The 27,452-nt window shown below is 45.0% G+C and overlaps 2 protein-coding genes across 15 annotated transcripts in view, besides 9 other annotated features; one reads left to right on the forward strand and one right to left on the reverse strand.

The window, feature by feature from the left end:
* Positions 1–17,052, reverse strand: part of CCDC32 (coiled-coil domain containing 32) — a 44,050-nt gene extending 26,998 nt beyond the window's left edge. For 4 of the 13 annotated variants that reach the window (NM_001382439.1, NM_001382441.1, NM_001382438.1 and 1 more), the window contains exons 1-3: positions 16,986–17,052; positions 14,782–15,037; positions 9,226–9,382 (exon numbers count right to left, since the gene is read on the reverse strand). In NM_001382439.1, coding sequence (NP_001369368.1) covers positions 9,226–9,382; positions 14,782–15,025 — 401 coding nt within the window. In that variant the 5' untranslated portion in view covers positions 15,026–15,037; positions 16,986–17,052. Of the gene's footprint in view, positions 1–5,108; positions 6,138–9,225; positions 9,401–14,781; positions 15,038–16,775 lie in introns of those variants that run through there. The other 9 variants (NM_001382436.1, NM_001080792.4, NM_001382442.1 and 6 more) reach the window with 9 other exon arrangements.
* Positions 5,553–5,642: an enhancer, noted in NCBI's record as "active region_9248". NCBI's record gives its function as "activates an Ori minimal core promoter by ATAC-STARR-seq in GM12878 lymphoblastoid cells {active_cell/tissue: GM12878}" and the evidence as "EXISTENCE:reporter gene assay evidence [ECO:0000049][PMID:35858748]".
* Positions 6,022–6,642: an enhancer, noted in NCBI's record as "OCT4-NANOG-H3K27ac-H3K4me1 hESC enhancer chr15:40846211-40846831 (GRCh37/hg19 assembly coordinates)". NCBI's record gives its function as "activates a minimal SCP1, AML or CMV promoter by ChIP-STARR-seq in naive H9 embryonic stem cells {active_cell/tissue: H9 hESC(naive)}" and the evidence as "EXISTENCE:reporter gene assay evidence [ECO:0000049][PMID:30033119]".
* Positions 10,664–10,713: an enhancer, noted in NCBI's record as "active region_9249". NCBI's record gives its function as "activates an Ori minimal core promoter by ATAC-STARR-seq in GM12878 lymphoblastoid cells {active_cell/tissue: GM12878}" and the evidence as "EXISTENCE:reporter gene assay evidence [ECO:0000049][PMID:35858748]".
* Positions 17,451–17,500: an enhancer, noted in NCBI's record as "active region_9250". NCBI's record gives its function as "activates an Ori minimal core promoter by ATAC-STARR-seq in GM12878 lymphoblastoid cells {active_cell/tissue: GM12878}" and the evidence as "EXISTENCE:reporter gene assay evidence [ECO:0000049][PMID:35858748]".
* Positions 17,980–18,274: an enhancer, noted in NCBI's record as "tiled region #4500; K562 Activating DNase matched - State 5:Enh". NCBI's record gives its function as "activates a minimal TATA promoter and a strong SV40 promoter by Sharpr-MPRA in K562 cells {active_cell/tissue: K562}" and the evidence as "EXISTENCE:reporter gene assay evidence [ECO:0000049][PMID:27701403]".
* Positions 19,227–19,406: a silencer, noted in NCBI's record as "fragment chr15:40859416-40859595 (GRCh37/hg19 assembly coordinates)". NCBI's record gives its function as "represses an EF-1alpha promoter that drives an FKBP-Casp9 reporter gene in an ReSE screen in HepG2 liver carcinoma cells {active_cell/tissue: HepG2}" and the evidence as "EXISTENCE:reporter gene assay evidence [ECO:0000049][PMID:32094911]".
* Positions 21,251–21,580: an enhancer, noted in NCBI's record as "active region_9251". NCBI's record gives its function as "activates an Ori minimal core promoter by ATAC-STARR-seq in GM12878 lymphoblastoid cells {active_cell/tissue: GM12878}" and the evidence as "EXISTENCE:reporter gene assay evidence [ECO:0000049][PMID:35858748]".
* Positions 21,309–26,959, forward strand: RPUSD2 (RNA pseudouridine synthase domain containing 2). Of its 2 annotated transcripts, none has more exons than NM_152260.3 (3): positions 21,309–21,953; positions 23,614–23,910; positions 25,537–26,959. In NM_152260.3, the coding sequence occupies exons 1-3, from the start codon at positions 21,348–21,350 to the stop codon at positions 26,269–26,271; spliced, it is 1,638 nt and encodes a 545-aa protein (NP_689473.1). In that variant the 5' UTR covers positions 21,309–21,347; the 3' UTR covers positions 26,272–26,959. The 2 variants fall into 2 exon arrangements, with proteins under 2 accessions (NP_689473.1, NP_001273336.1); NM_001286407.2 differs by having other exon boundaries at positions 21,309–21,770.
* Positions 21,642–22,141: an enhancer, noted in NCBI's record as "H3K27ac hESC enhancer chr15:40861831-40862330 (GRCh37/hg19 assembly coordinates)". NCBI's record gives its function as "activates a minimal SCP1, AML or CMV promoter by ChIP-STARR-seq in primed H9 embryonic stem cells {active_cell/tissue: H9 hESC(primed)}" and the evidence as "EXISTENCE:reporter gene assay evidence [ECO:0000049][PMID:30033119]".
* Positions 21,891–21,940: an enhancer, noted in NCBI's record as "active region_9252". NCBI's record gives its function as "activates an Ori minimal core promoter by ATAC-STARR-seq in GM12878 lymphoblastoid cells {active_cell/tissue: GM12878}" and the evidence as "EXISTENCE:reporter gene assay evidence [ECO:0000049][PMID:35858748]".
* Positions 26,960–27,452: the final 493 nt, after the last annotated feature.

The raw sequence follows: 27,452 nt of genomic DNA on the forward strand, positions 1-27,452 counted from the left end.
TATTGTCTTTTTCTTACCCACTTGTAAGACAGCCACATCTTTGCCAAAGTTGAAACAGTTGATGGGTCACTATCTCTCCTTCTATTTCCTCTCACTCCTATTCATTTCTATGAACTCAGCTCCCCTAACACTATCTCTCCTTTATTTGGTTGCCTTGTGGCCTTGGCTTTCTGATGGGCTCAAGAAAAGTTATGATTTTGTACCTGCTTTTTCACATTGTTAGGACGGAAGGGACATTTTCTTGCAGTATTCTACATCCTAAGTGGAAAAAGTCCTCAAGTACTATCATCTCTTTCTTAGACAACTGCAACCACCTCACAGCTGGTCTCCTGTGTCCAATTTTGCCCCTCTCCCTACTGTAGCCAGCATAAGTATTAAATTCTGCAACCATCGCAGACTAGAGGGGGCTGCAAAATAAAATACTTAAAAATTAGCTACTTAAAACCTGAAGCTTAGCTTATGGTGCATTGGTTATCTATTGCTGAGTAACAAATCAACCCAAAACTTAGTGGTTTAAACCATGACATTTATTGAATCTGTAGGGCTTTGCAGGGACAGCTTGTCTCTGTACCACTTGGTGTCACCTGGGACAGCTTAAAAACTGGGGGATGAAATCATTTGAATTACTTACTTATATGTCTGATGCCTGGGGTGGGAAGACTCAAACAGCTGGGACTCCCTGGGCTTCTCTACCTCTCTGTGGCCGACTTCTTACATGCCGGCTCAGAACTACCAAGGAGCATGCTGAGAGAGAGAGAGAGAGACCCCAGGTGGAGTGCTTTCATGACCTTGCCTCAGAAGTCCCATTATTTATGCTGTACTCTATTAGCAAGGCAGTTACATAGGTCTGCCCAGGTTCAAAGGGAGGGAATATTGACTGAAGATCTCAGGGGAGGAGTGTCCACATCACACTGGAACATGAATGAGTGGGATGGGATACACTGATTTGGCCATCTTTGGAAAATACAATCTGCCATACATGATTCTACTTGTTCTGTAATAGTGAAAAAATAACAAGAAAAATTGAAGTAGAAAATAAAAACAAAGAAAAACCATTTCACATAGACATGTATCGCTGCCAAGTGTGAATAACTTGTCCACCCTCAATCACTTTAATTATGGCAAACCCATGGCAGCCATAACCTTCTAGATGTAAATCTCATCTTGTCACTGCCCCTCTTAAAATCAGCCATTAGCTCCCTGTTCTCCCACAATAAACTCCAAACTCCTTAACATGGTTTATAAAATCCTTCACACCTGGCCTTGTTTAGTAATTTCCACCCTCACCTCTCGTCTGTCCCTCCTTTGTTCTTTGTGCTCCAGCTACACTGAACTACCTTCCATCCTCCAAGTTCCCTTTTGCTTTTAGGGCTTTGCACATGCTGTTTTCCTCTTCCAGGACTCCTCTTGGTCCCCATGCTCTTACTCTTCTATTTCCTCTCACTCCTATTCATTTCTATGGACTCAGCTCCCCTAACACGGCCTCTCTCCTACCCCACTCCAACTGGTCTAGGGCTCTCATATCTCCTTCCCATGTGCTCTCAAAGCACCTTGTGCTTACAACTTCCACAGAATTAATGAGGTAGGCTCTACTCCCCCCTCCATCATTCTATGTGGGAAGATGCCGTTCTGCTTTATTTAACACCATGCACCATGCCTGGAACATGGCAGGGGCTCAACAAATATTGGTTAGATGAATGAATCTCTGCCTTAAATAACCTATTTCTGGGCTCAAGTAAACAGCCCTCGCACAAACCTAACATCCCAATGGCAGTATCCTATCTTGAGTCTTATAACTGACGTAGGGCCAAAGCTGGTTGGGATAATTTAGAATTTTCAAGAAAACCTTGCCTGCTTCATGTGGCTGGGGCTGTTCTCAGCCTTGGAGGACTCCTTCCAAAACAGGGCCAGGGAGAGGCTCCAGGGCTTCCGTCTTCCAGCAATGGTCCTGGTGGGCAGGTCTGCTTGGAAGGGTGCACCTCGGCCACAGCTGGCGGGACGTTTGTTTACTTGCTGTGCCTGCAGCCAGGGCCTATTTCTGGATCAGGTATTGGATGCATGCCTGTGTCACTCCAGCCCTGATCTTGCCAGGCGCTGAGTGATGAGCACGTGTGTGTGCCGGGAGAGAACAGCAGCAGTCCCTTAGGTTATCTGCCTGGCTGCAGCCCAGCCTTCTCTGGGTGTACCAAGTCATTACGGCTTGGCCCGTGTTGGTGATTACCCTCCCCTGGCTCTAAAGCTTTAGCACTAAATATTGCTCCATTTGCTCTAACTTGCTGTCTATTTCACTAAGGAGGAAGAAGGAAGAAAGTCAGGGGTGATAAGTAAGATTCTACCAACTTACAAATCTTACTAGGTTGAGGAAGCCCTAACTGGAGTTCCTTGGAGTTTTCAGGGTCAAAGGAAAGAGATCAGCATTTTAGGCCAATACTATTTTTTCCTATGGTTAGTCCCATTACTGAAAAGGAACTGGAACATGAAGAGGTCACTTGACTTATTTGTGACCATTCAGTAAGCCACAAGACAGATAAAAGACAGCACCCAAGACTCTCAGTTTCAAATTTAGTGCCACTTCACTAGCCTAAGATAAATCTGTATTAACAAGTTAGCTTTGGGAGCTAGTGTCAAATTTGGTTTTGGTAAATGGAGTTTCACCTTTTTTTAGAGCCATTGTTTACGCTGTCACCTCTAAATCAATTAAGAAACTATAGCTACAACTCACTGGGTTCCCTTCCGTGGAGTCGTGCAGAGCTCCTCTCACACCGCACCCAGGTTTACACATGGGCTAGAAACCATTCAACTTACAAACTCTGTTTCAGTTCCTCTAAAGCGATTCTCCACCCTCTCATATTCCAATTTCTGTTTCTGAGGTAGAAAATGGGAAGTAGGGAAAAGGCAAAGCTAGAATCTTGCCTGAATGACAGAAACACTATTTTCGGGTACAGAAACATTCTCTTACCATCCCATGATCTGCACTTTGGGAGAGTGTTTTGGGACCTCATTGCTTTTTTTTTCTTAAACTGTTGTTTCTGAGGAAGAATAATTGTTGTTTGTTTATCATGCAGGGAGAATAAAAATTTTAGTTTTTCTTTCTTTAAAAAATCCATCCTGGCAGGGCACGGTGGCTGACGCCTGTAATCCCACCACTTTGGGAGGCCGAGGCGGGCGGATCATGAGGTCAGGAGATCCAGACCATCCTGGCTAACACGGTGAAACCCCGTCTCTACTAAAAATACAAAAAATTAGCCGGGCGTGGTGGTGGGCGCCTGTAGTCCCAGCTACTCGGGAGGCTGAGGCAGGAGAATGGTGTGAACCCGGGAGGCAGAGCTTGCAGTGAGCCAAGATGGCGCCACTGCACTCCAGCCTGGGCAAGAGAGTGAGACTCCATCTCAAAACAAAAAAATCCATCCTGAAAGCCATCAGATGGCCCTGGAGAGGAGTGAGGCCTGGCATCTGAACTCCAGGTGGAGATGGCAGCCTGCAAGCCTGGATGACCGTCAATATTCTGGCTTCCTCAATGTACCCAGGGGCCACAGAGAGCCACTCTCTGTGTCACACGTATCCTGCCAATAAAATGCAGTAGGAATAAAGCGACTAAATCTACTAATAAAGGTGTTAACCCAGTCCAGACAACATGGCGAAATCCCATCTCTACAAAAAATATAAAAAATAAGCTGGGCATGGTGGTATGCACCTGTAGTCCCAGATACTCGGGAGCCTGAGGCAGGATCACCTGAGCCCAGGAGGTCAAGACTGCAGTGAGCTGAGACCGTGCCACTGCCCTCCAGCCCTCCTGGTGATAGAGTGAGACCCTGTCTCAAAAAAAAAAAAAAAAAAAAAAAAAAAAGGTTAACCATTAGTCAATGAAAAGAGAGGAAAGGGCCAGGCATGGTGACTTGCACCTGTAATCCCAGCACTTTGAGAGGCCAAGGTGGAAGGATAGCTTGAGCCCAGAGGTTCGAGACTAACCTGGGCAAAATAATGCGACCCTGTCTCTACAAAAATTTTTTTTAAAAATTAGCCAGGCATAGTGGCACATGCCTATAGTCCCAGCTACTCAGGGGAAGCTGAGGCAGAAGGATGGATTGAGCCTGGGAGGTTGAGGCTGTAGTGAGCCATGATTGTCACTACACTCCAGCTTGGGTGATAGAGTGAGGAGACCTTGTCTCAAAAAAACAAAAAAAAAATAAAGAAGGAAAAAAGAGGAGCGGCCAGGCGCGGTGGCTCATGCGTGTAATCCCAGCACTTTGGGAGGCTGAGGCGGGCAGATCACCTGAGGTCAGGAGTTCGAGACCAGCCTCAACATGGAGAAACCCCAAATCTACTAAAAAAAATACAAAATTAGCCGGGCGTGGTGGTGCATGCCTGTAATCCCAGCTACTCAGGAGGCTGAAGCAGGAGAATTGCTTGAACCCGGGAGGCAGAGGTTGCGGGGAGCCAAGATCGCGCCATTGCACTCGAGCCTGGGCAACAAGGGCAAAACTCCATCTCAAAAAAAAAAAAAAAAAAAAAGAGGAAAGTATATTTGAATATTACAATAAAAATATTTGTATCACTAAGCAAGTATATGGAACCACCTAATTGGTTCCTATCCTTTTGGGCAAGACAAATACTTGATTTAGAAATGAGCAAACAATAGCCGGGTGTAGTGGTTTGCACCTGTAATTCCAACTACTCAGGAGGCTGAGGTGGGAGGATCACCTGAGCTCAGGAGTTTGAGGTTACAGTGAACTATATGATTGTACCATTGCACTCCAGCCTGGGCAACAAAGTGCGACCTCAAAAAAAAAAAAAAAAAAAAAAAAAAAGCAAATGTTCTCAGAAGATTTATTTATTCTATTTTTTCTTTTAGCTCCTCTCTCGATCGGAAGATTTTTACAGCCACCCTACTGATCTTTAGGGATTTGTAAACTATTACCCAGGAAGAAGGCCCATGGAGCTAAGGCCTCAGAACACCAAAGTCTGGACTGTCTGAGGGCACATGCTAATAACAGGAGGCTGGCAAAGTGGCCAGCTCCCATGCCTTTGCATGCATTTGTCTTTACCTCCTGCTGCCTGGGAACATCCTTCCAGGAGCAATCGAGTCAACAGCACCACAGACACTGCTATTCCGTTGAGAAAAGTTTTATATGGAAACACATACTGATCATGAACACAATAAACAGGGAGGGAAGCTCGGGCTCAGCCAGGAAACCTGCCACAAGGAAGATGTTTGGAACTATCCAGGAGTAGTGTCAAACACTAACACCATATTTACAAGTCTAATTTGGAACCTGGCCCTTTTTAAGTGCAGGAGGAAGTTGGAGGAGAAGCCATGCATGAAGTAAAAAATACATATACACAGACATAAACACCCACATTTTCACACTTCTTTTGCCCATTTGTTCCACAAGGAACAAATGAGAGAAAGAAGCCCAGCCTCTCTCCCTGGAGTCCGTATACTTACTACAGATTTGTTAGAGAAGCCCCAGATGGGGCTTGGATTCAAGGAGCAGACTTCACTCTTACTGGCCCCACTCACGTGACAATTCACCAAGGGAATGCTTGGGACACAAGCATGAATGTCCGGAAGAGGCAAGAAAATATATGGCTCACTTAACTTACACATTACACATAAGAGGCCTCAGTTTCTCCAAGTACTTTCACATTTGATCTTTAGCAGACTTCTAACCTGCAGAGACAGAGCTCAGCCAAGCTGTGAGACACAGAGGAAAGCAGCATTTTGATCCAGTGTGCACTGGGTCAGTCACTTCATCCGAGACAGTCACACATGCCAGCCCCAGGTAAGTCCCTGGGGGCTTGCAGCTGTTTTCTTTGTGGAGTGGAAATTTGGGTTTTTTCCTTCAGTGGATTTCTCCCTGCTGCTGTCACTGAGCTCCACGCTGCTCGCTCTGGACCCGAGACAGCTGCTCGGCGTGTGTGTGTGTGTGTGTGTGTGTGTGTGTGTGTGTGTGTGTGTGTGTGTGTGTGTGTGTGTAATTTACTGTTCTGCTGCTGCTGGCTTGTCCCCGGCTGCTGGCTCGTCCTCGGCCACTGGCTTCTCAACCTGTGACTCTGGAGGAATCAGATACTGGACCTCCTCTGTGCTGACGGCTACTTTATCTGGCTGGAGCCACCTCTTGAAATGTTCCAAGGTGCTATGAAAGGGCAGAATAAAAGGGTGGCTGTGTCAGACCTCACTGATTAATTACTTAATGATTATCTCAGTTACTCAAACACTACCTTCCCGCCCACCAGCAATTTCTTCCTACAATTGTTTTTCACTGCTAAACTGGGAAGTACAAGGATACTCCTAATGGCAGCTGTGCATCCTGGCAGCTCTGCGCATAATTTACCCCATAGTGGGCACTTTGACTACAGGCAGCAGCAGGCCCCCTTCAAATGCAGAGCCTCTGAAGGCTTGATGAGAACCGCTGAAGAGTTTACGCCTCAGTCCTAAAGACCTAAAGATAGGTCTTTTTTCACTCAAAACAGGAGAGGAGAGAAATTGTCAAGGGGAAGAAACACTCAAATAAATACCAAATTATTATTGAGGCAGAAATCTGAGTATCTTTTGCCTCTTATAGCTGAGGCAGTCTGGGACTCAATTATAGCACTTACTTGCACTAAGTGATTTTTTTTTTGTGTGGGGTTTTTGTTTGTTTATTTCATCCTATAGCAAGTCCCTAAGATAAAAACATCTGAGCAGCAAATATTCCCCACAAGAGAATGACCACTATGCCAGAGGGCTGTCTTTTTGTTTGGATCTGTAGGGAGAGGGGAGATGTAATTGTCAAGCTCAAGGTCCCCTACCCGCCTTCCTTACAGGACCCTATACCCTAAAGCTATTAGACGTTCACAGTAAAATATAAATGACTAGAAATAATGTAAACCTTATTCTATGCTCCTCAATAGCACAAAGTCTTAACCCAAGAAAGAATACCATAACAGCAGATTTTAGGCATCTCTTGGTATATGGGGGAATTTATGTTTTGGATAGTCGGATTTCTCAGCCCATTACTCCCTTGCCAAAAGCATACCACAAGGAGGATCACCTACCTGGCCCTCACATACGTGAAGACCTATACAACCCCATTGTAAAATGGCCTCTGTTTAAAAGATAAACTTTGAAGAACTAGTGTTTCCTGGTGTTTGTTCTGGATAATGATAGAAAGAAACATTCCCACAGATGTAGGCTCTGGGGAAAAATCTAAATGTCAGAGGGCAATGAGAGCGGCTGATTGACTCTAGTGCTCACAGCTCAGGGGAATCAGGTGTGACACAGCATTTAATCTTCATTTACCACACTTTTCATCAAATTGTTCAAATTATTTCCATAGAGAAGGGAAATCTACATTATTTTACATATTGATAAATACGTAGGAACATGCTGATCTGATTTCAGAGAAAGAGGATTTCTACTTGAAAATGACACAGGAGAAAGTTTTGTCTTTTCTTCTCAGAGCTGGAGAGAAGAGAGGTATTCAGGGGGACAGAATATAAGTAAATACCAAATTATCAGTGGGTCAGGAGTCTGCATCTTCAAATCTCCTATGTTTGGAGCAATTTAAGACTTAATTAGGTTGGACCTTTAGAGATAGAAAAGAGCAAAATGTATATAATTTCCTGAACCCTCAGAGGAGAGTTGGCCTGACCTTAGATGCTACGCTGATTTCTGAAGCATCTAGAGGCATGCTGATTAAGCATTTGAGATAATGTAAGTGAAAGTATTTTACACATTTGCAAGTAAATGTACCTATGAAGTTTTATTCACATACTGTCCTGATTTCGGCAGCAGTACTTCTTCTGATATGATGGGATTCTCAACACCAATGTCCATATGTTGGAAACTCAAGTTAAATCACATTCCCCTAAGATCTTTTGTTAAAATTCAATTTTTTACTCCCCCCCATTGATTTTTACTTTGAATAATTTCTTACCAAACTCTAAAATTCTGTAGGAAGGATAATATTAGTAACAGCCAACACTTCTATAGTGCTTACCATGTGCTAGGCATTGTTCTATACCCTTTACAAATAGTAACTCATTTAACCCTCATAACAACTTATGAGGTAAGAGCTGATTGCTCCCATTTCACAGATCAGGAAACTGAGGCACACATAGGTTACTTACCCAAGAACATACAACCAGTAAGTGGCAGAGCCGATTTCCTGAGTGTCGAGCCCCATTCCTGCTCATTGTGGCAGGGCAGCATGCCCTCTCTATCTTTCTGCATCTAAACTACTTGCAGGTACTGTTCAAGTCCTGCCTCCCTCTATGGCAAAACACCAAAGCCAGGAGGGAGCTCAGTGGCCTCTCAATTCCCAAAGCACATTCTGTCACTTCTACTCAACTGGCCCTTCTCTTATTAATGCCTGGTATTGTTAGGTATGTCTTTATATATATTTGTCATCTGCCCTCAAGTAGTTTTGAGGACAAAAACAAATGGGTTTAAAACTTCCTTACACCATTCCCTCCATGACACCAAGCACAGTGCTATCACACAGTGGATGCTTAATAAATTCATTAATTTAGTCTGCGTAAATTCATTGAGTGGCTACAATCTGACAAAAATTCTGTAAGGCAGGCCAGGTGCAGTGGCTCCCGCTTGTAATCCCAGCACTTTGTGAGGCCGAGGCAGGCAGATCACCTGAGGTCAGAAGTTTGAGACCAGCCTGGCCAACATGGTGAAACTCCATCTCTACTAAAAATACAAAAATTAGCCGGGTGTTGTGGCACACGCCTGTAGTCCCGGCTACTCAGGAAGCTGAGGCACAAGAATTGCTTGAACCCAGGAGGCAGAGATTGCAGTGAGCCGAGATCGTGCCACTGCACTCCAGCCTGGGCAACAGAGCGAGATTCCATCTCAAAAAAAAAAAAAAAAAATCTGTAAAGCAGTGGAAATTCAGAGGTAAGAAGAGATGAAGAGATAGTTCCAGAAAATAATCTCTCTGAGGAGTAAATGGTTTTTCCTTTTGTTACAGTAACATGGTTTCCAAACCTCATGAGAAAGAATTCAAGAACATGAGAGACTGATTAGTTACTACTTTCTCAAGTTCATTGCATACTTAAAAATGAACACAATGCTTTATCCTTAACTCTATTCAATCTGTGACCAACACGTAGCTGCAGTATTTGCCTTTTGGCAAAAAAGTCTGTTCTTAAAAATCTACTGCTGGGCTAAAAACAAATAGAACAACTACATAAAGGATGATTTCAGCTGGAACTAGACGGGGAATCGATTACCTCTCATCAGAATCAAGTCCATCCACAAAGAACTCTGAAGCTAACTTCTCCTGGAGGAACCGATCCCAGCATTCCTTCTTGGCTTGGGCCAGAGTTCGAAGCATGTCCTTGGAAGTCACTTCCTGATTTAAACCTTTGATTCTTCTTAGCTTCTTCTCTAGAGAGAGAAGTAGAGCTTAACAAGGAAAATGAGCATGACATGAAATTTTAACTAAATCTAAAACTCAAAATACTAACTTAAAAAATCTCTCACCGATGAGGACATCCACACTCCCTGCCAAAGAGGTCATTTTTTAAGGACAGATAAAAGGGAATTGAACATTCTTCCTTTTTCCTTCACAAAGTCCTCACCCTGCATTGTATCAAATAAATGTTTAACCCGAGAAAAGGGAAAAGCCATAGGTTCTCATAAATAAGTCAATGGCATGTTTTCTTTGAAATCACGTAAGCCCAGCAGGTATCTCTCTAAGGAATGCTTGTTTTCCCTGGTTTGACATGTGTATACTACTGTCTTTTTTCAACTCCTTGAAAATAATCTCTCTGAGGAGTAAGTGGTTTTTTCTTTTTGTTACAGTAACATGAAGTGGTTTCCAAATCTCATGAGAAAGAATTAGAGAAAATGATGAAAGATCCAACGGTTCATTAGATATTAAAATTGACTTGATGAGAACTCAATAAGAGACCTTTAAAATCTCTATGTGTGATTAAATTCTTAATAAAAAGAATCTCCCAACATTTTTTAAAGTTGCTCAACTTGTGGCCTAGATGTTGGAGTCTAATAAAAACAAATGTCTTCTAATCCCATGACAGTGCTCCATATGGCTTCTTGATGATAGAGGTTAAATTACTCTTGTTTGCATTTTAACTCTAATTGTTTAACAGATTTCCCCTTTCGAAGAATACAAGAAAGGACATCACCATTTACCGTCTGCCTTAATTTAGTTTGCCTTCAACTATAAGTACATAGGTTAATGATGGCATGGTGGGGTGGTGAACATCAAGCTTAGAACCAATAGAAACTATGATTTGCAGTTCTGTTTTCATTTCTAAAAAAGTCACATCAGCTAACACCCACTGATCAAAACAAATACCTTTTGTTCCTGTTATTACCACCATGAGCTCACCCATGTAAAAAAAACCTGCAGTTGATAAATGTTAAATATTTGCAGGGTTTGTTTTCTCCTTGAGGATATAAAAAGGGTTATCCATAGCATACATTTAAGTTTTTAATTATTGCTGTTATCAGTGGATTCTCTTTGATATAGGTTATTTAACAATAAAAACAATCTTCATATTGTCTGGCCTCAGTTGTCAAAGTGGAAGGTACTCTTTTGGGCCGGAAAAGGTCTTCCTCTCTCTAAGTATGCTGAGTCCCTGGTCAGGTGTGATTTCAATAGGGCAAGCAGAAACAGGCACTAACACGTCCCTTCTGCCGCTGTCTCCCAGTCCATGCCATAGGCAACAGAAATGACTCTTATTTTCTTCAGAGATGAAAACTTCTTAACTGACTTTAGAGAAGATCATTAACTTTCCAAGCCAGTCTTCACTAATCAAAATCATCACTGTCTTCATTACACTTTTTCTTTCTTTCTTTTTTTTTTTGAGACGGAGTCTCGCTCTGTCACCCAGGCTGGAGTGCAGTGGCACGATCTCACTCAGCTCACTGCAAGCTCCGCCTCCTGGGTTCAAGCGATTCTCCTGCCTCAGCCTCCCAAGTAGCTGAGATTACAGGCGCACACCATCACACGTGGCTAATTTTTGTATTTTTAGTAGAAACAGGATTTTGTCATGTTGGCCAGGATGGTCTTGAACTCCTGACCTCATGTGATCTGCCTGCCTCGGCCTCCCAAATTGCTCTCTCTCTTTCTCTTCCTTCCTCTCTCTCTTTCTCAACAAGGTCTTGCTCTGTCACCCAGGCTGGAGTGCAGTGGCATGATCACAGCTCACTGTAACCTTGAACAACTGCTAGGCTCAAGCAATCCTCCCACCTCAGCCCCCTGGTAGCTGAGATTACAGGCATCTACCACTTCAGGCTAATTTTTAAAAATGTATTTGTAAAGACAGTCTCACTATGTTGCCCAGGCTGGTCTCAAACTCTTGGCCTACACGTGACCCTCCCACATCGGCCTCTCAGAGCGCTGGGATTATAGGTGTGAGCCACCATGCCTGACTTTCATGAAAGTTTCTTAGAAGCCCTTGTCATACAGCACCAACAAGCCAAGGGATCTCGTTCTATAGCTTTATCCAATTGTTGCCTCTTCTCCTTATCATCATTAAACAGATGCTTTGGCTACCACATGCAGAATTTTCATCCCCTAGGCCATGGCTGCAAGCATTGCTATCCTATCTTTGGTGGCTTCCTGGCAAATTTCACATTACTCCCTATCTTTCTATCACTCCACCTATGTTTTTCTCATATCTTTTTCCTCCAGTACATCATTAACAAAATCCCTTTTGTTTTTGCAAGATATTTCTTAGCTATCATGCAAGCTCTCTTCTGACTCTTCTTTCTGTCTTTCCTCAGAAGCTCCTTCTACCTGAATTGCCTTTCCTTCCTCAAAAAATTATTCCCAGGTTTGTAGCTGATCTTCGACAAAGCATATAACAACACAAATTGGGGAAAGGACATCCTATGTAACAAATGGTTCTGGGAAAACTGGCTAGCCACCTGTAGAAGAATAAAACTAGATCCCTATCTCTCACCTTATACAAAAATCAACTCAAGATGGATATAAGACTTGAAATCTTCAAAATTCTAAAAGAAAACCTAGGAAAAACTCTTCCAGACATTGGCCTAGGCAATTTTTATTTTGAGATGGAGTCTCGCTCTGTTGCCCAGGCTAGAGTGCAGTGGTGCGATTTCAGCTCACTGCAACCTCTGCCTCCTGGGTTCAAGCGATTCTCCTGTCTCAGCCTCCCGAGTAGCTGGGACTATAGGTGTGCGCCACCACGCCCAGCTAATTTGTGTATTTTTATTAGAGACAGGGTTTCACCATGTTGGCCAGGATGGTCTCGATCTCTTGACCTTGTGATCTGCCTGCCTCGGTCTCCCAAAGTGCTGGGATTACAGGCGTGAGCCACCGTGCCCGGCCTAGGCAAAAAATTTATGACTAAGATCCCAAAAGTAAATGCAACAATAACAAAAATAAATAAATCGGATCTAATTAAACTAAAAACTTCCGTACAGCAAAAGAAATAATCAGAGTAAACAGACAACCCATGGAATGGGAGAAAGTATTTGCAAACTATGTATCTAACAAAGGACTAATATCCAGAATCTACAAGGTGCTCAAACAAATCAGAAAGAAAAAAACAATCCCATCAAAAAGTGGGCAAATGACATGAATAGACATTTCTCAATGGGATTTGAGAAGATATACAAATGGCTAACAAACATATGAAAAAATGCTCAAAATCACTAATCATCAGGGAAATGCAAGTCAAAATGGTGAGCTACCACCTCACCCCAGCCAGAATGGCCACTATTAAAAAGTCAAAAGACAATAGATGTTGGCACGGATGTGGTAAAAAGAGAATCCTTATACACTGCTGATGGGAATGTAAATCAGTACAACCTCTATGGAAAACATATGGAGATTTCTCAAAGAACTAAGAGTAAATCTACCATTTGATCCAGCAATCCCACTACGAGGTGTTTACCCAAAGGAAAAGAAGTCGTTATATCAAAAAGATACCTGCACGCATGTTTCATAATTCATAATTGCAAAGATATGGAACCAACCTAAGTGCCCATCGAGCAATGAGTAGATAAAGAAAATATGGAATATATACACCATAGAACACTACTCAGCCATAAGAAATAATAAAATAATGTCTTCTGCAGCAACTTAGATGGAGCTGGAGGCCATTATCCTCTAAGTGAAGTAACTCAGGAATGGAAAACAAAATGCCATACGTTCTCACTTATAAGTGGGAGCTAAGCTATGGGTACACAAAGGTATACAAAGTGGTATATTGGCCGGGCACGGTGGCTCACACCTGTAATCCCAGCACTCTGGGAGGCCGAGGTGGGTGGATCACGAAGTCAGGAGTTCGAGACCACTCTGACCAACATGGTGAAACTCTCTATCTACTGAAAATACAAAAATGAGCCAGGCGTGGTGGTGGGCGACTGTAATCCCAGCTACTCAGGAGGCTGAGGCAGCAGAATTGCTTGAACCCGTGAGGCGGAGGTTGCAGTGAGTCGAGATCGTGCCACTGCATTCCAGCCTGGGCAACAGAATGAGACTCCGTCTCAAAAAAAAAAAACAAAACAACAACCAAAAAAAAAACAAAACACAAAGTGGTATACTGGACTTTGGAGATTCAGAAGTGGGGAGGTTTGGAGAGGGGTGAGGGATAAAAAACTACACATTGGGTACAATGTCCACTACTTGGGTGATGGGTGCACTAAAATCTCAGACTTCACCACTATACAATTAATCCATGTAGCCAAAAACCGCTTGTACACCAAAAGCTATTGAAATAAAAAAATTAGGGCCAAGCGCGGTGGCACACGCCTGTAATCCCAGCACTTCAGGAGGCCAAGGTAAGCCTTATTCCCAGGTTTGGCTTTGTGAAACATGGATGAATCTCATGGTTGTTCCACAATAAAAGGATATTACAATTCTAAAGACTGCCCCTCACCGCCCTAGACTGATATTTCTTTTTCCCCTAGCATGGGACAATTTGAATCTCTTTCCTGTGTTTGGAATCTCTCTAGATACTTATACTATGGCCGCAGGACAGGGTACTGAAAATGTGTTCAGGAAATATTTTTAAAATAAAATGGCTAACAAGAGGCAGAATGAATCTTATGTCAATATGCTCCCATTCTCAACAATCAATCTATTTATGTAAGTTTTTCAAACTCCAGCATCAGAAATCCACATGTAGCCCTGGGGCCATCACATTTTCTTGCAGGATGGCATAAGGTTTAACACTTTTGAGTTATTTGAATATACGGGCAACCAACAGTAGGCAAGAGGGTTCTACAGAATGCCAAGAAATCAAACACAGAATTTAGATGAACTGGGCAGAGGCAGGAAGTGACAAAAACTGTTTTAAGAGCTGTTCGGGTAGTCACGGCGGCTCATGCCTGTAATCCCAGCACTTTGGGATGCCGAGGCAGGTGGATCACCTGAGGTCAGGCATTCGAGACCAGCCTAGCCAACATGGTGAAATGAAACCCCATCTCTACTAAAAATACAAAAAATTAGCCGGGCATTGTGCCAGGCGCCTGTAATCCCAGCTACTCGGTAGGCTGAGGCAGGAAAATCGCTTGAACCCGGGAGGTGGAGGTTGCCATGAGCTAAGATCACGCCACTGCACTCCAGCCTGGGCAACAAGAGTGAAAGTCTCAAAAAATTAAAAATAAAAATAAAAAAAGATCTGTTCAAGGAAAAGGGGGCTGCTTCCCAACAGCCGGCTTGAAACATCCCTTGGAATTATATCTGACAGATACGTGTGACAGGAATAACAACAACACAAAAGAATAGGAAACCAAGTTTGATGTAACAGAACTTCAATATGCTTCCCTAGAGCCGTCAAACTTACCTAGAGATGCTAAATACACTTCTGAATCCTGCAAGGGAGCCCAAGGCTTTACAGCTGGCTGGACAGCAAAGTCAGCCACCTCCCTCTGGCCTTCACCTTCAGGGCAAGAATCCACAAAGGAGTCTGAGAATGCATTGTTGGCACCATCTTCTTGTTCAGGATTTGGCAGACAGGAACAAATTTCAGCCCAGAGATCCTGGCCAGATCTTGTGGCTGTAGAGTCAGCGCTCTCAAACATTTTCATTTGGAATCTGAGCTATAAAACAGAAGCTCAAGTGAGTAAGAACTGGCTTTAAGAATACAGCATAAGGTTGAGCACAGTGGCTCACGACTGTAATCCCAACACTTTGGGAAGCCGAGGCAGTCAGATCATTTGAGGCCAGCAGTTCGAGACCAGCCTGGGAAACATGGCAAAATCCCATCTCTACTAAAAATACAAAAATTAGACAGGTGTGGTGGCACATGCCTGTAGTCCCAGCTACTCCGGAGGCTGAGGTAGGAGGATCACCTTAGCCCAGGAGATAGAGGCTGCAGTGAGTGGTGATCACGCCATTGCACTCCAGCCTGGGTGACATTGCGAGGCCCTGTCTCACAAATAAATAAATAAAATAAAAATAAAAATGGAATTCCTACAAGCCATACACAAAAGGCAGATACTGTGATTCCACTTATATAAGGTACCTGAGTAGTCAAATTCATAGATACAGAAAATAGGATGGTGGGAGCTGGGGGCTGGGAGGTAGAAAGAATGGGGAATTACTGTTTAATGGGTACACAGTTTCAGTTTGGGAAAATGAAAAAGTTCTGGAGGTGGATGGTAGTTATGGTTGCACAACAATGTGAACACCACTGAATCATACACACAAAAATAGTTAAAATGGTCAATTTTATGCTACATATATTTTAACACACACACACACACACACACACACACACAAATCTGTAGGGCATTTCCAGGTTGGACAACCAGCCTGCACTTTTCTCCAAAGATCTCCAAAATGCAACAGTTCTATCTCCAGTCAATTAAATTCTGTTTTTTTTTCTTTCTTTCTTTCTTTTTTTTTTTTGAGACAGAGTCTCGCTCTGTCGCCCAGGCTGGAGTGCAGTGGCGCTAACTTGGCTCACTGCAACCTCCGCCTCCCGGGTTCACGCCATTCTCCTGCCTCAGCCTCCCAAATAGCTGGGACTACAGGCACTCGCCACCACGCCCGGCTAATTTTTTGCATTTTTTAGTAAAGACGGGGTTTCACCGTTTAGCCAGGGTGGTCTCGATCTCCTGATCTTGTGATCCGCCCGCCTCGGCCTCCCAAAGTGCTGGGATTACAGGCGTGAGCCACCGCGCCCGGCCCCTAAATTCTGTTTTCAACAGAACACAGACTAAAGGTCTTTCCACAGTTCCATATACATGAAGATCCTGCTTGGTAAAAAGTGTCTGTCAGAGAGTACTGTTACAATGCAAGGGCTGTGTGCTCAGCGCATGCAGTTCAGCCGTATGTCTCATGCTCTTATTTTAATACAATCACTGAAAGGTAGGTATTTTCACCATTTTACAGATGAAAAAACAAGTTCAGAAGGGTAACTTGCTCTAGGGCACATTACTGATATGTGGGGAATCCTTGACAGGAAAACCAGATCTGTGCTGCTCCAGAATCCATGTTTTTATCAAATACCATCCTGCTTGTTTGGAAAATATAACGAAAGCAGCCCAAGCACGGGCAGGTAGGAAAAGCTACGCAAAGAGCCTGGAGGCTTTTATAACTATCTAGGCATATGAGACAGGCTGACACCTTCTTTCAAGAGGAGACTTAGAAATCAGGAAGGCTGCCTGAGGCAAGGTCTGAATAATGCCAGGAGACAGAGCCCAGCCAGCGTAAAGGCCGGAAGTAAAAGGGACAGCTATGACACGGCGGTCCTGGGTGAACTGATGTCTAGCGCTACAGTGAACCCCCAACCCGAATTCGTCTAAAGCCACCCAAAACCAAAACTTTGCTCACACCAGAGCCCCGCATGGCCCCTTACCCCAGGGCAGGGCGTCCAGAACCACGCAGGAAATTCCGGCGTCCAGATCCCAGGCCTCAGTCGCTCAGGTCTCTAGGGCTGTCTGGACGGGATGAATCAGGTCCCAAGGCCTCTATGTGGTATTCCGGGGCCGGGCCAGAGTGGGAGATCCAAAACGCTGGGCACCCCAGCCCCTCCTCACTTACCGTAACAGCTGCCCAGTAAACGCTTGGCTCAGCTCTGTCGCCTGTAGCCCGGAGGAAATCGGGAGGGGCGGAGTCCCCTAGTGACGGAGCCCAGGAGTCCTCCAACTACCTTCCCACCCGACGATGTTCTGTGCGTCGATTGGTCGAGAGGAGCTCAGCGTGGTGAAGAAGTGAGGAGCAGCAAGAGGCGAGCGGTGGACGGGGCTCTGGTTGCCGGGAAACGGTGGAGTCACGTGCCCTGAGCATTGCCCCTCCCCTCCCGAGGGCCAGGTTGATTCCTTGCAGATCCAGGGTTCCAGTCCCTGCTTGGATAGGGAAGTCGTTTCCAAGACTTTTGACTTTTCCTAGTCGCCGGAGCCAGTTCACCTCCTCCACAACTTTCTCTGTCGGTGTTTGTCTTCTAAAAATTTCACCCCTTCGTTACCCAAATTAGAGCACTTCGGCGGCTTCTTTCCTTACTCTCCCAGGAGACTCGTGTCTCATTCATCAAATTATGAAGCTTTCCTTCATTCATTTAGTCAATAGATACCAAGCACCTGCTGTGTTCTAAGCATTGTGTTAAGCGTGAAGTTAAGACACATATGACTTGATATAAGTCCTGGAGATCCTTACAGCTTAGTAGTGTAGGAAGGGGGTCCGCCATGGAGGCATAAAAGTTTACAAATAACAGTAAACAGTGATAGACAGCCGGGCGCGGTGACTCACGCCTGTAATCCCAGTACTCTAGGAGGCCGAGGCAGGTGGATCACCTGAGGTCAGGAGTTCGAGACCAGCCTGGGTGAAACATGGTGAAACTCTGTCTCTACTAAAAGTACAAAAATTAGCTGAGCATGGTGGCACATGCCTGGAATCCTAGCTATTCGGGAGGCTCAGGCAGGAGAATCGCTTGAACCGGGAAGGCAGAGGTTGCAGTGAGACAAGATCGCACCACTGCATTCCAACCTGGGCAACAGAGCAAGACTGTCTCAAAAAAAAAAAAGGAGGGGGGCGTTGAGGATTATAGAGTATATGATGGAAGTGTGGCCAGAGTACATAAAGGAGAGAGTGGTCATAAGAAGTGTGTGTCAGAATGCTTTGTTGTTGTAGTTGTTAAAGGAGATGACCTTTGATATCCTTCAGGGGATAGATACCAGCTTGTTCATTGAGATCGACCCCTCCCCATCCCCAGCTTCCAGGATCAACACCAGTTACTCTCTCCCAAGAAACACGTGATGAAAGACATCAGCCAACCATCAGTAGCCAAGTAACTTGGCTGAGGAAATAGTTCTCACTCCAGCCTGGGTGACAGAGCAAGACTCCGTCTCAAAAAAAAAAAGAAAGAAAGAAAAAGAAAACAACAACAACAAAAACAACATAGTTTTAGGATTACAGATGTGAGCCACTGCGCCCAGCTAAAATACAATTTAAAATTCAGTTCCTGGCCGGGCTTGGTGGCTCATGCCTGTAATCCCAGAATTTTGGGAGGCTGAGGGGGTGTGGATCACCTGAGATCAGCAGTTCGAGACCAGCCTGGCCAACATGGTGAAACCCTGTTTCTACTAAAAATACAAAAATTAACTGGGCGTGGAGGCGCATGCCTGTAATCCCAGCTACTCAGGAGGCTGAGGTAGGAGAACTACTTGAACCCAGGAGGCGGAGGTTGCGCCACCACATCCGGCCTGTAATCCTAACACTTTGGGAGGCCAAGGTGGATGGATTGTTTGAGCCCAGTTTGAGACCACCCTAGGCAATGTGGCAAAACCTCGTCTCTACTAAAAATACAAAAAATTAGCCAGTCATGGTGGCACATGTCTGTCGTCTCAGCTACTAGGGAGCCTGAGGTGGGAGGATCACTTCAGTTTGGGAAGTCAAGGCTGCAGTGAGCCAAAATCGTGCCACTGCACTCCAGCCTGGGTGATGGGAGTGAGATCTTGTTTCAAAACTTGTTAAAATTTTAATTAATTTAAATTTAATTAGCCACATGTGGCTATTGTACAGCACATGGCTAATGGTGATCCTATTGTATAGCACAGGATTGGAGAATATTACATAGTTCACAGAACCTCAAGGTGAGTGGAGAGTCAGGCTTTAGGTCTATACAGCCAGGGACAGTATCTGAATCTCACTGAGAGACTGCTCAGGGAACACCCCACAGCCACTGAACATCTATAGCTGGCATTATTCGTCGATTGGGTACTTGACACAAGAACCTCCCCGACTGTTGGCCTCCCAGATTAGATGCCTCCAATGCTACCTTGTTAGACACGGATTTCACACTGAGCCTGCTTCCGCGGCTGTGTGCCTCTGAACCAAAGCCTCTGTCTAAGAGATAGAGCCCAGGTCAAATGCCTATGTCCAAGCTGCAAGAGAGTGTGGGAAGGCTCTGGCTTCTACCTTTTGGGGGCAGTAATGAAATGTGAGAAATTCCCCACCCAAAAGAAGGGTGTTCGGAAGATGCTGGATGTTTACAGAATATGACAAATGTCTACTCTACATGGTCTATGCCAGTGCTTCTCAAGCTTTAATATGCAGAAAAATCACCTGAGGATCATGTTAAAGTGCAGATTCTCATTTAGTAGGTCAGAAGGGGAGGAGGAACAAGATTCTGCTATGTTTTCTGTCTCCACAGTTTTGCCAGGCACTAGTCCAAGTATTTTACTTGAATTAACTAATTTAATTCTCCCACCCCAATCCTATGGAGCAAAGAGGCTAGCTAAGAATACATACTTTTCTTTTGGATAAGGTTCTGCTTTCACTGTAAATATCTTAATGAAATGATGCACTTGAGAGATGATGTCCCTCCTGTGAAGTAGTTTGGTTCTAACATACCCCACAATCAATGGAGAATTCTACCTCTTATTTCTGGAGGTAGTCAGGAATCAGACTTTTCAGCATATGGAGTTCTGCAGCTGTGGATACCTCAGCTGCAGTCCCTCAGTTAGTTTGGTGAGACTAATGACTTGAAGAAGGAATTTAGCTAAAAAAGATTTCCCTTTCTCCTCTCCAGAATACAAATGCCTAGGATAAGAATTAGACTGTCTTTTTTTTTTTTTTTTTTTTGGCAAACTAACATTGAAATGCCTCCTTATTTGGAAGAATCCCACTCTGGATACCAAAGAGGGTTAGATTCTTGGCCGGGCGCGGTGGCTTACGCCTGTAATCCCAGCACTCATAATATAAAAATTAGCCAGGCGTGGTGGTGCGTGCCTGTAGTCCCAGCCACTCAGGAGGCTGAGGCAGAAGAATGGCTTGAACTCAGGAGGCGGAGGTTGCAGTGAGGTGAAATCGCTCCACTGCACTCCAGCCTGGGCGACAGAGCAAGACTCCGTCTCAAAAAAAAAAAAAAAAAAAAAAAAAAAGAGGGTTAAATTCTTCCATCTCCAGGCACCCTGGAAGTGAGGGCTCAGAGCAATGAGGTTTGGCTGATGGAAGTCCTCCCCTGCAGGACTCTTAACCTTGGAAGAGGGACACAGAGACACAGGGAGATTTAGGGGTCTCCAAGGGGTGGCAGGGCTGCAGGAAAAAGAGTCCTTTGGCACAACATAGTTTCTTGTGTCTACTGCATCCCAACTGGGTTTCTTCCCTGACATGTCTGAAGCCAGGCTCTCAAAAGGCTTGGTTTCCCTTGATTTGGCCCTTTTTCTGAGCCTAGTCTCCAGTTGTCTTGTGAATTCTATGAGGCACTAATATACTTTCCATAATTCTATCTCTGATGAAATTAGCCAGAGTTGGTTTATTTTGCACTTAAGAACCCTCGCCATATATCCTCTGATCTATTTGCAGTTTTAATCTCAGGATGGAAGCATGTGGGAGGCGAATGGGGATCACTAATCCTTCTCATGCTGTTAGGGGGAAACACAGGTGTGAACACATTGCTTCTGGGGTGCTTGTGTGTGTTTTAAATACATATATAACAATCTTACTGAGATACAAGTCACATACTATAATATTGACCCTTTTAAAATATAGAATACAGTGGGTTTTAGTATATTCGCAGAGTTTAGCAATCTTTATTCTGGTTGTTAGTTTTTGTTTTGTCTTAAATAAAGCTCCTTTCAAGCGTTTCTTCAGACCCAAGGGACTACTCGGAATTTACACGACCTACTCCTGTCATGGCCTTTACACGGAGCAATTCCAAGGGTTTCCTTTATAAATAACGTCGTATCTCCCTAATAGGAAGACGTCTGAGTAAGGTCACTTTTGGTGAGACATTTACAGTCTCTCATCTCTAAGCTCACTCAATTCACCTAATTTAATTCGAGCAGCTCACTCATTCGCTCACTTATCGCAGACCCCGCCTCGGGACTGGGCCTCCCTGATTCGCTGGGGCCGAGTGACGTCCTCAGATCGCGACCCTGGGAGTGGAGTGGGGGCAGCGTGGTTATGTGGCTGGACCGCCGCGGATGGCTCAGGGTTCTTGGACATTGGCGCTACGACCTTAGGCGCCCTAGCTTTACCAGGACTTGGAGTGGCGATAAGGGCCCAATGGCAGAAACAGTGTCTACCCAGGTTGGGACAGAGGGCGGGCTGAGGGCTTCGCATCAGCAAAACGGTGACGCTGGTGGCGACGCGAAGGTTGAGCTGTCCCCCGGGCCCCCGAAGCCGGCTGGCCGGGAAGTGGAGCCGGCCCCAGTAGGCGGGGAGCATCCCTCGGCTGCAGCCCCAGGCCCGGGCAAGCATAAGAAGCGGCGGGGCGCAACCAGGGAGCGTGTCGTGCCGCCCCCGAAGAAGCGGCGGACCGGGGTGAGCTTCGGAGATGAGCACTTTGCAGAAACCAGTTATTACTTCGAGGGCGGCCTGCGTAAGGTGCGGCCCTATTACTTTGACTTCCGGACCTACTGCAAAGGTCGCTGGGTGGGCCACAGCTTGCTGCACGTCTTCAGTACCGAGTTCCGAGCTCAGCCCCTGGCCTACTATGAGGCCGCGGTCCGGGCGGGCCGCCTGCAACTCAACGAGAAGCCGGTGCAGGACCTCAACATCGTGCTCAAGGTGGAGTCCTGATGGGGCTGGCCAGAAGCGGGCGAGGAAAAGGGGCCGGGTTTTGTTTTGTTTTGTTTTGTTTTTTAGTCTTAGTAAAGCATAGGTACTGGATTAAAATCATGGCAATTCTAAAGCGTTCTCGCTTTCATTTGGAACACTATTTTAGCCCGTTTCCCACCTCCGCAAGTGGCCAGGGTGTCTGTGCTTCAGGACTCAGCCTGTTTATCCTCTTCCTCAAGGCAGCTTCCTTGTTTCCAAGGGACAGAAGTTGGAATTTTCATAATTCCTTTAAACACCGTCTTGTGGCAAGGGCACTGATCACTTTACCCTGCGTTGTAGATCTCTGTGCAAATAGTAATAATAGGGGCTATCATTTATGTCTCTTTACTGTGTGCTGGGCACAAAGTTAAACATTGTATGTCCACTAATTCTAATGACAGCCTTGTGAAGTAGGTATTGCCACTCCATTTTACCTCTGAGGAAACTAAGGAAACTCACAGGGGTAAGGCTATCAACAGTGCCACTACCAAAGCCTATGTTCCTATAACTACTACTTAAACTATTTAACATAGAGTTATGAGATGTCAGGGATAGAGACTAGAATTGTTTAGCCCAGTGCTTTGACTCCTTTAAAATTCCATCACATCTATGAGGTACCAGACACCCCTGTCAGAAGTAACACTGTTTACCTCTCAGTAACACTAGTTTACCATGGTTGTGAGTGGAGAAAAGGCGATTACAGCATTTGGGGAATGGATGGTTTTGGAGTAACTTGTTCCATTGATCAATCGATTTGCGTCAATATATCATACATTGACGAATTCCCTCTCCTATCCCAATTTCTAAAGCACAGATCTGGTCTAACCCTCACATTCCACAGGAAGCAGAGACCCAGAAAAGATAAATGACTTGCCCAAGAGCATGTAGCGAGCCTGTGGCAAATCCTGGTCTAGAGCCCATATCCCTGGACTTAAGCCTTAGTTTTGTTTGTTCAAGATCGTAATAAGTGATGATTTATGGAGGTTTTTTCCTCCATTAAAAAAATTTTACCTTGATTATTTATTTTTTTTTTTTTTGAGACAGAGTCTTGCTCTGTTGCCCAGGCTGGCGTGTAGTGGCGCGATCTCGGCTCACTGCAACCTCCGCCTCCCAGGTTCAAGCGATTCTCCTGCCTCAGTCTCCCAAGTAGCTGGGATTACAGGCATGTGCCACCACGCCTGCTAATTTTTGTATTTTTAGTAGAGACAGAGTTTGACCATGTTAGCCAGGATGGTCTTGATCTCGTGATCCACCCACCTCAGCCTCCCAAAGTGCTGGGATTAGAGGCGTGAGCCACTGCGCCCGGCTAAAAAATTTTACCTTTTAAATACCTTTATTGTAGAGAAAATACAATTAGCAAAGCCAAAAAACATTCATAATCTAACCACCCAGAGATAACACAGTTAACATTTTTGCATATGTCCTTCCAGTACTTTTTCAGTGCCAGCTATCTGCCTGTGTCTGTCTGTATTTTTACAAAATGAGATCACACTCTGCACACTGCTTTTTCAGCCCAAGATGTGCTTTCACCATTTTTCCATGTCAGTGAGGAACAGGGGAAGCTGGATATGAAGTTGACTGATTACAGGCTGCGGTCCCTAGGCTGACTTATTACCTATGTCTTTGACAGGACAATGATTTCTTGCGGAACACAGTGCACAGGCATGAGCCACCAGTCACAGCAGAGCCCATTCGCCTGCTAGCTGAGAACGAAGATGTGGTGGTTGTAGACAAGCCTTCCTCCATTCCCGTTCACCCCTGTGGCCGCTTCCGACACAACACAGTTATCTTCATCCTAGGCAAGGAGCACCAACTCAAGGAGCTACACCCCTTGCATCGGCTTGACCGCCTTACCTCAGGGGTGCTTATGTTTGCCAAGACAGCTGCAGTCTCTGAGAGAATTCACGAGCAGGTTCGGGACCGGCAGGTGAGTCAGGCTTTTGTCTCCTACAGGCCACTTCTTGGGCTCACGAATGCTCTGTGTCAAAAGGGCATCATGGAGTTCCGAAGTGGTCCTTCATATTTATCTGGCCATCCTTCCTACCTTCCTACCTTAAGGCAGGTCAACACCTAAAGTGCCAAATGCAGGATATCTCATATGTTTCCAAAAAAATCTTTAGAGATGGCATACACTGCCTCTCTTAGTAGTTTGCTATTTTGAAGCTTTAAAATGCTGACAAGGCCAGGCTCACACCTGTAATCCCAGCATTTTGGGAGGCTGAGGTGGGAGGATAGCTTGAGCCCAGGAGGTAGAGACCAGCCTGGGCAAAATAGGGAGACCCTATCTCTACAAAAAAAAAAAAAAAAGGCCAGGCGCAGTGGCTCACGCCTGTAATCCCAACACTTTGGGAGGCCGAGGCGGGCAGATCACGAGGTCAGGAGATCGAGGTCATCCTGGCTAACACGGTGAAACCCCGTCTCTACTAAAAAAAAATACAAAAAATTAGCTGGGCGTGGTGGCGGGCACCTATAGTCCCAGCTACTCGGGAGGCTGAGGCAGGAGAATGGTGTGAACCCAAGAGGTGGAGCTTGCAGTGAGCCGAATCGCGCCACCGCACTCCAGCCTGGGTGACAGAGTGAGACTCTGTCTCAAAAAAAAAAAAAAAAACTTACCCTGGCATGGTGGCACATGCCTGTAGTCCCAGCTACTTGGGAGGCTGAGATAGGAGGATCACTTGGCCATGGGAGGTTGAGGCTGCAGTGAGCCATGAGCATGTCACTGCGTTCCAGCCTGAGCTATAGAACAAGACTCCGTCTCAAAGAAATAAATTAACATAAGAAAATAAAGTGCTGACAGGCTGAGCAAGGCTTTTAAGATTATGGGGAGAGCCTGCTTGGTGAAAAGATTCTAGATGTAGTTGGAAAAGTCTTGGGTAGAGGAGTTTAATGGTAATGATTGTTGTCCTGAGACTTGTAATTCTGGATCTGAATCATAATACATTTATTGAGTGCATGCTATATACCAGGCTTAGTATCAAGCACATTAGAGCCTAACTTACTGAATGCTTATCACAGCCCAATGAGGTAAATGCTTTTCTTTTCTTTTCTTTTTTTTTTTTTTTTTTTTTGAGATGGAGTTTCGCTCTTGTTGCCCAGTCTGGAGTGCAATGGTGTGATCCTGGCTCACTGCAACCTCCGCCTCCTGGGTTCAAGCAATTATCCTGCCTCAGCCTCCCAGGTAGCTGGGATGACTGGCATGCGCCACCACGCCTGGCTAATTTTGTATTTTTTAGTAGAGACGGGGTTTCTTCATGTTGGTCAGGCTGGTCTCGAACTTTCGACCTCAGGTGATCCACCCACCTCAGCTTCCCAAAGTGCTGGGATTACAGGCGTGAGCCACCTCACCCAGCTGGTAAATGCTTTTCTAATTTCACATTTTCTAGATGAGTTAGTAGGATTTAGAGGTTAAGTAATGTACCCAAGATCGCAAAACTGGCGAATGGTAGAGCTGGAGTTTGAATTTTCTGACACTGGTCCTTATCACTCCACAAAGAGTTTGGACTCCATGAATTTAGGCTTTGTACTGACTTTCTCCCTCTTCCCTCCTATGTAGCTGGAGAAGGAGTACGTGTGCCGGGTGGAAGGGGAGTTCCCCACTGAGGAAGTGACCTGTAAAGAACCCATCTTAGTGGTGTCTTACAAAGTAGGGGTGTGCCGTGTAGATCCCCGGGGCAAGCCCTGTGAGACAGTGTTCCAGAGGCTAAGCTACAATGGCCAGTCCAGTGTGGTACGGTGCCGGCCACTCACAGGCCGCACACACCAGATTCGAGTCCACCTTCAGTTCTTGGGCCATCCCATTCTCAACGACCCCATCTACAACTCAGTTGCCTGGGGTCCTTCTCGAGGCCGGGGCGGCTACATTCCCAAGACAAACGAGGAGTTGCTACGGGACCTGGTAGCAGAGCACCAGGCCAAACAGAGCCTGGATGTGCTAGATCTCTGTGAGGGTGACCTGTCCCCAGGACTCACAGACTCTACGGCCCCCTCCTCAGAGTTGGGCAAGGACGACCTGGAAGAGTTGGCTGCAGCTGCCCAGAAGATGGAGGAAGTAGCTGAGGCAGCCCCTCAGGAGTTGGACACAATAGCCTTGGCATCAGAGAAGGCAGTTGAAACAGATGTCATGAATCAAGAGACAGACCCACTCTGTGCAGAGTGCCGGCTGGTGCGACAGGATCCCTTGCCCCAAGACCTTGTGATGTTCCTACATGCCCTACGCTATAAAGGGCCAGGCTTTGAGTACTTTTCACCAATGCCTGCCTGGGCACAGGATGACTGGCAAAAGGACTGAGGGTGTGGCCAATGGAGGGATTGCTTCTTGGGTTGTGACAAGGATGGGCTATAGGGCAAGGGCTGACCCCATGGGCTAGTACTTGGGGTTTCTATAGGAATGAGGACGGGCTTCTAAAGAGACCTGCTCATACTTGCTACCTCCTTCCAGTGGGAATTTGGAGACTTTTTGGTTTGTAAATATATCCCTTTTTCTAACATCTTTGATGTCTGGTTTTCTTCCGGCTTCTTTTTTATTACTGATGTAAAATTCACATAACATAAAATTAACCACTTTAACTAGCCAGGCACAGTGGCTCATGGCTATAATCCTAGTACTTTGGGAGGTAGAAGTGAAAGGATCACTGGAGGCCAAGAGTTCAAGGTTAAAGTGAACTGTGATTGTGCTGCTGCACTCCAGAGCCTAGGTGACAGAGTGAGACCCTGTCTCTTAAAAAAAAAAAAAATTAACCAATTTAAGATGTACAGCGTAGTCACATTTAGTACATTCACAGTGTTGTACAACCATAACCTCATATATTTCCAAAACATTTTCATCACCCCAAAAGGAAACCTGTACCCATTAAGTAAGTGGTCACTTTCCACTCCCCTTCCACCAGCCTCTGGCAACCACTAATCTACTTTCTGTCTGTTTGGATTTGCCTGTTTATTCTGGACATTTTATATAAATGGAATGATAAAACATGTGACCTATGTCTCTGTTTCCCTTGGCATAATGTTTTCAAGGTTTATTCAACTTGTAGCATGTATCGGTACTTCATTCTTTTTTTATGGCAGAATAAGCTGTTGTATGGATATACCACGATTTGTCTATCTGTTCATCAGTTAATGGACATTTGGGTTGTTTCCACCATTTCATTATTGTGGATAGTGCTGCTGTGAACATTAAATATGTTTTCAGTTCTTTTGGGTATATACCTCACAGTGGAATTGCTGGGTCATATGGTAATTCTATGTTTAAATGTTTGAGAATCCACCAAACTTTTCCACAGCAGCTGAACCATTTTATATTGCCACCAGCAAGCATAGGGTTTCAATTTCTCTACATCTTCACCAACATTTGTTTTGTTTTGATTATAGTCATCCTAGTAGGAGTGAAGTGGCATCTCATTCTGGGTTGTTAGTCTTTTTGTTGTGGAGTGTAAGTGTTCTTTATATATTCTGGATGTGAGAGTCTTAGCA

The sequence above is a fragment of the Homo sapiens genome, chromosome 15 (genome assembly GCF_000001405.40).
Source record: "Homo sapiens chromosome 15, GRCh38.p14 Primary Assembly".
Taxonomy (NCBI): Eukaryota; Metazoa; Chordata; class Mammalia; order Primates; family Hominidae; genus Homo; species Homo sapiens.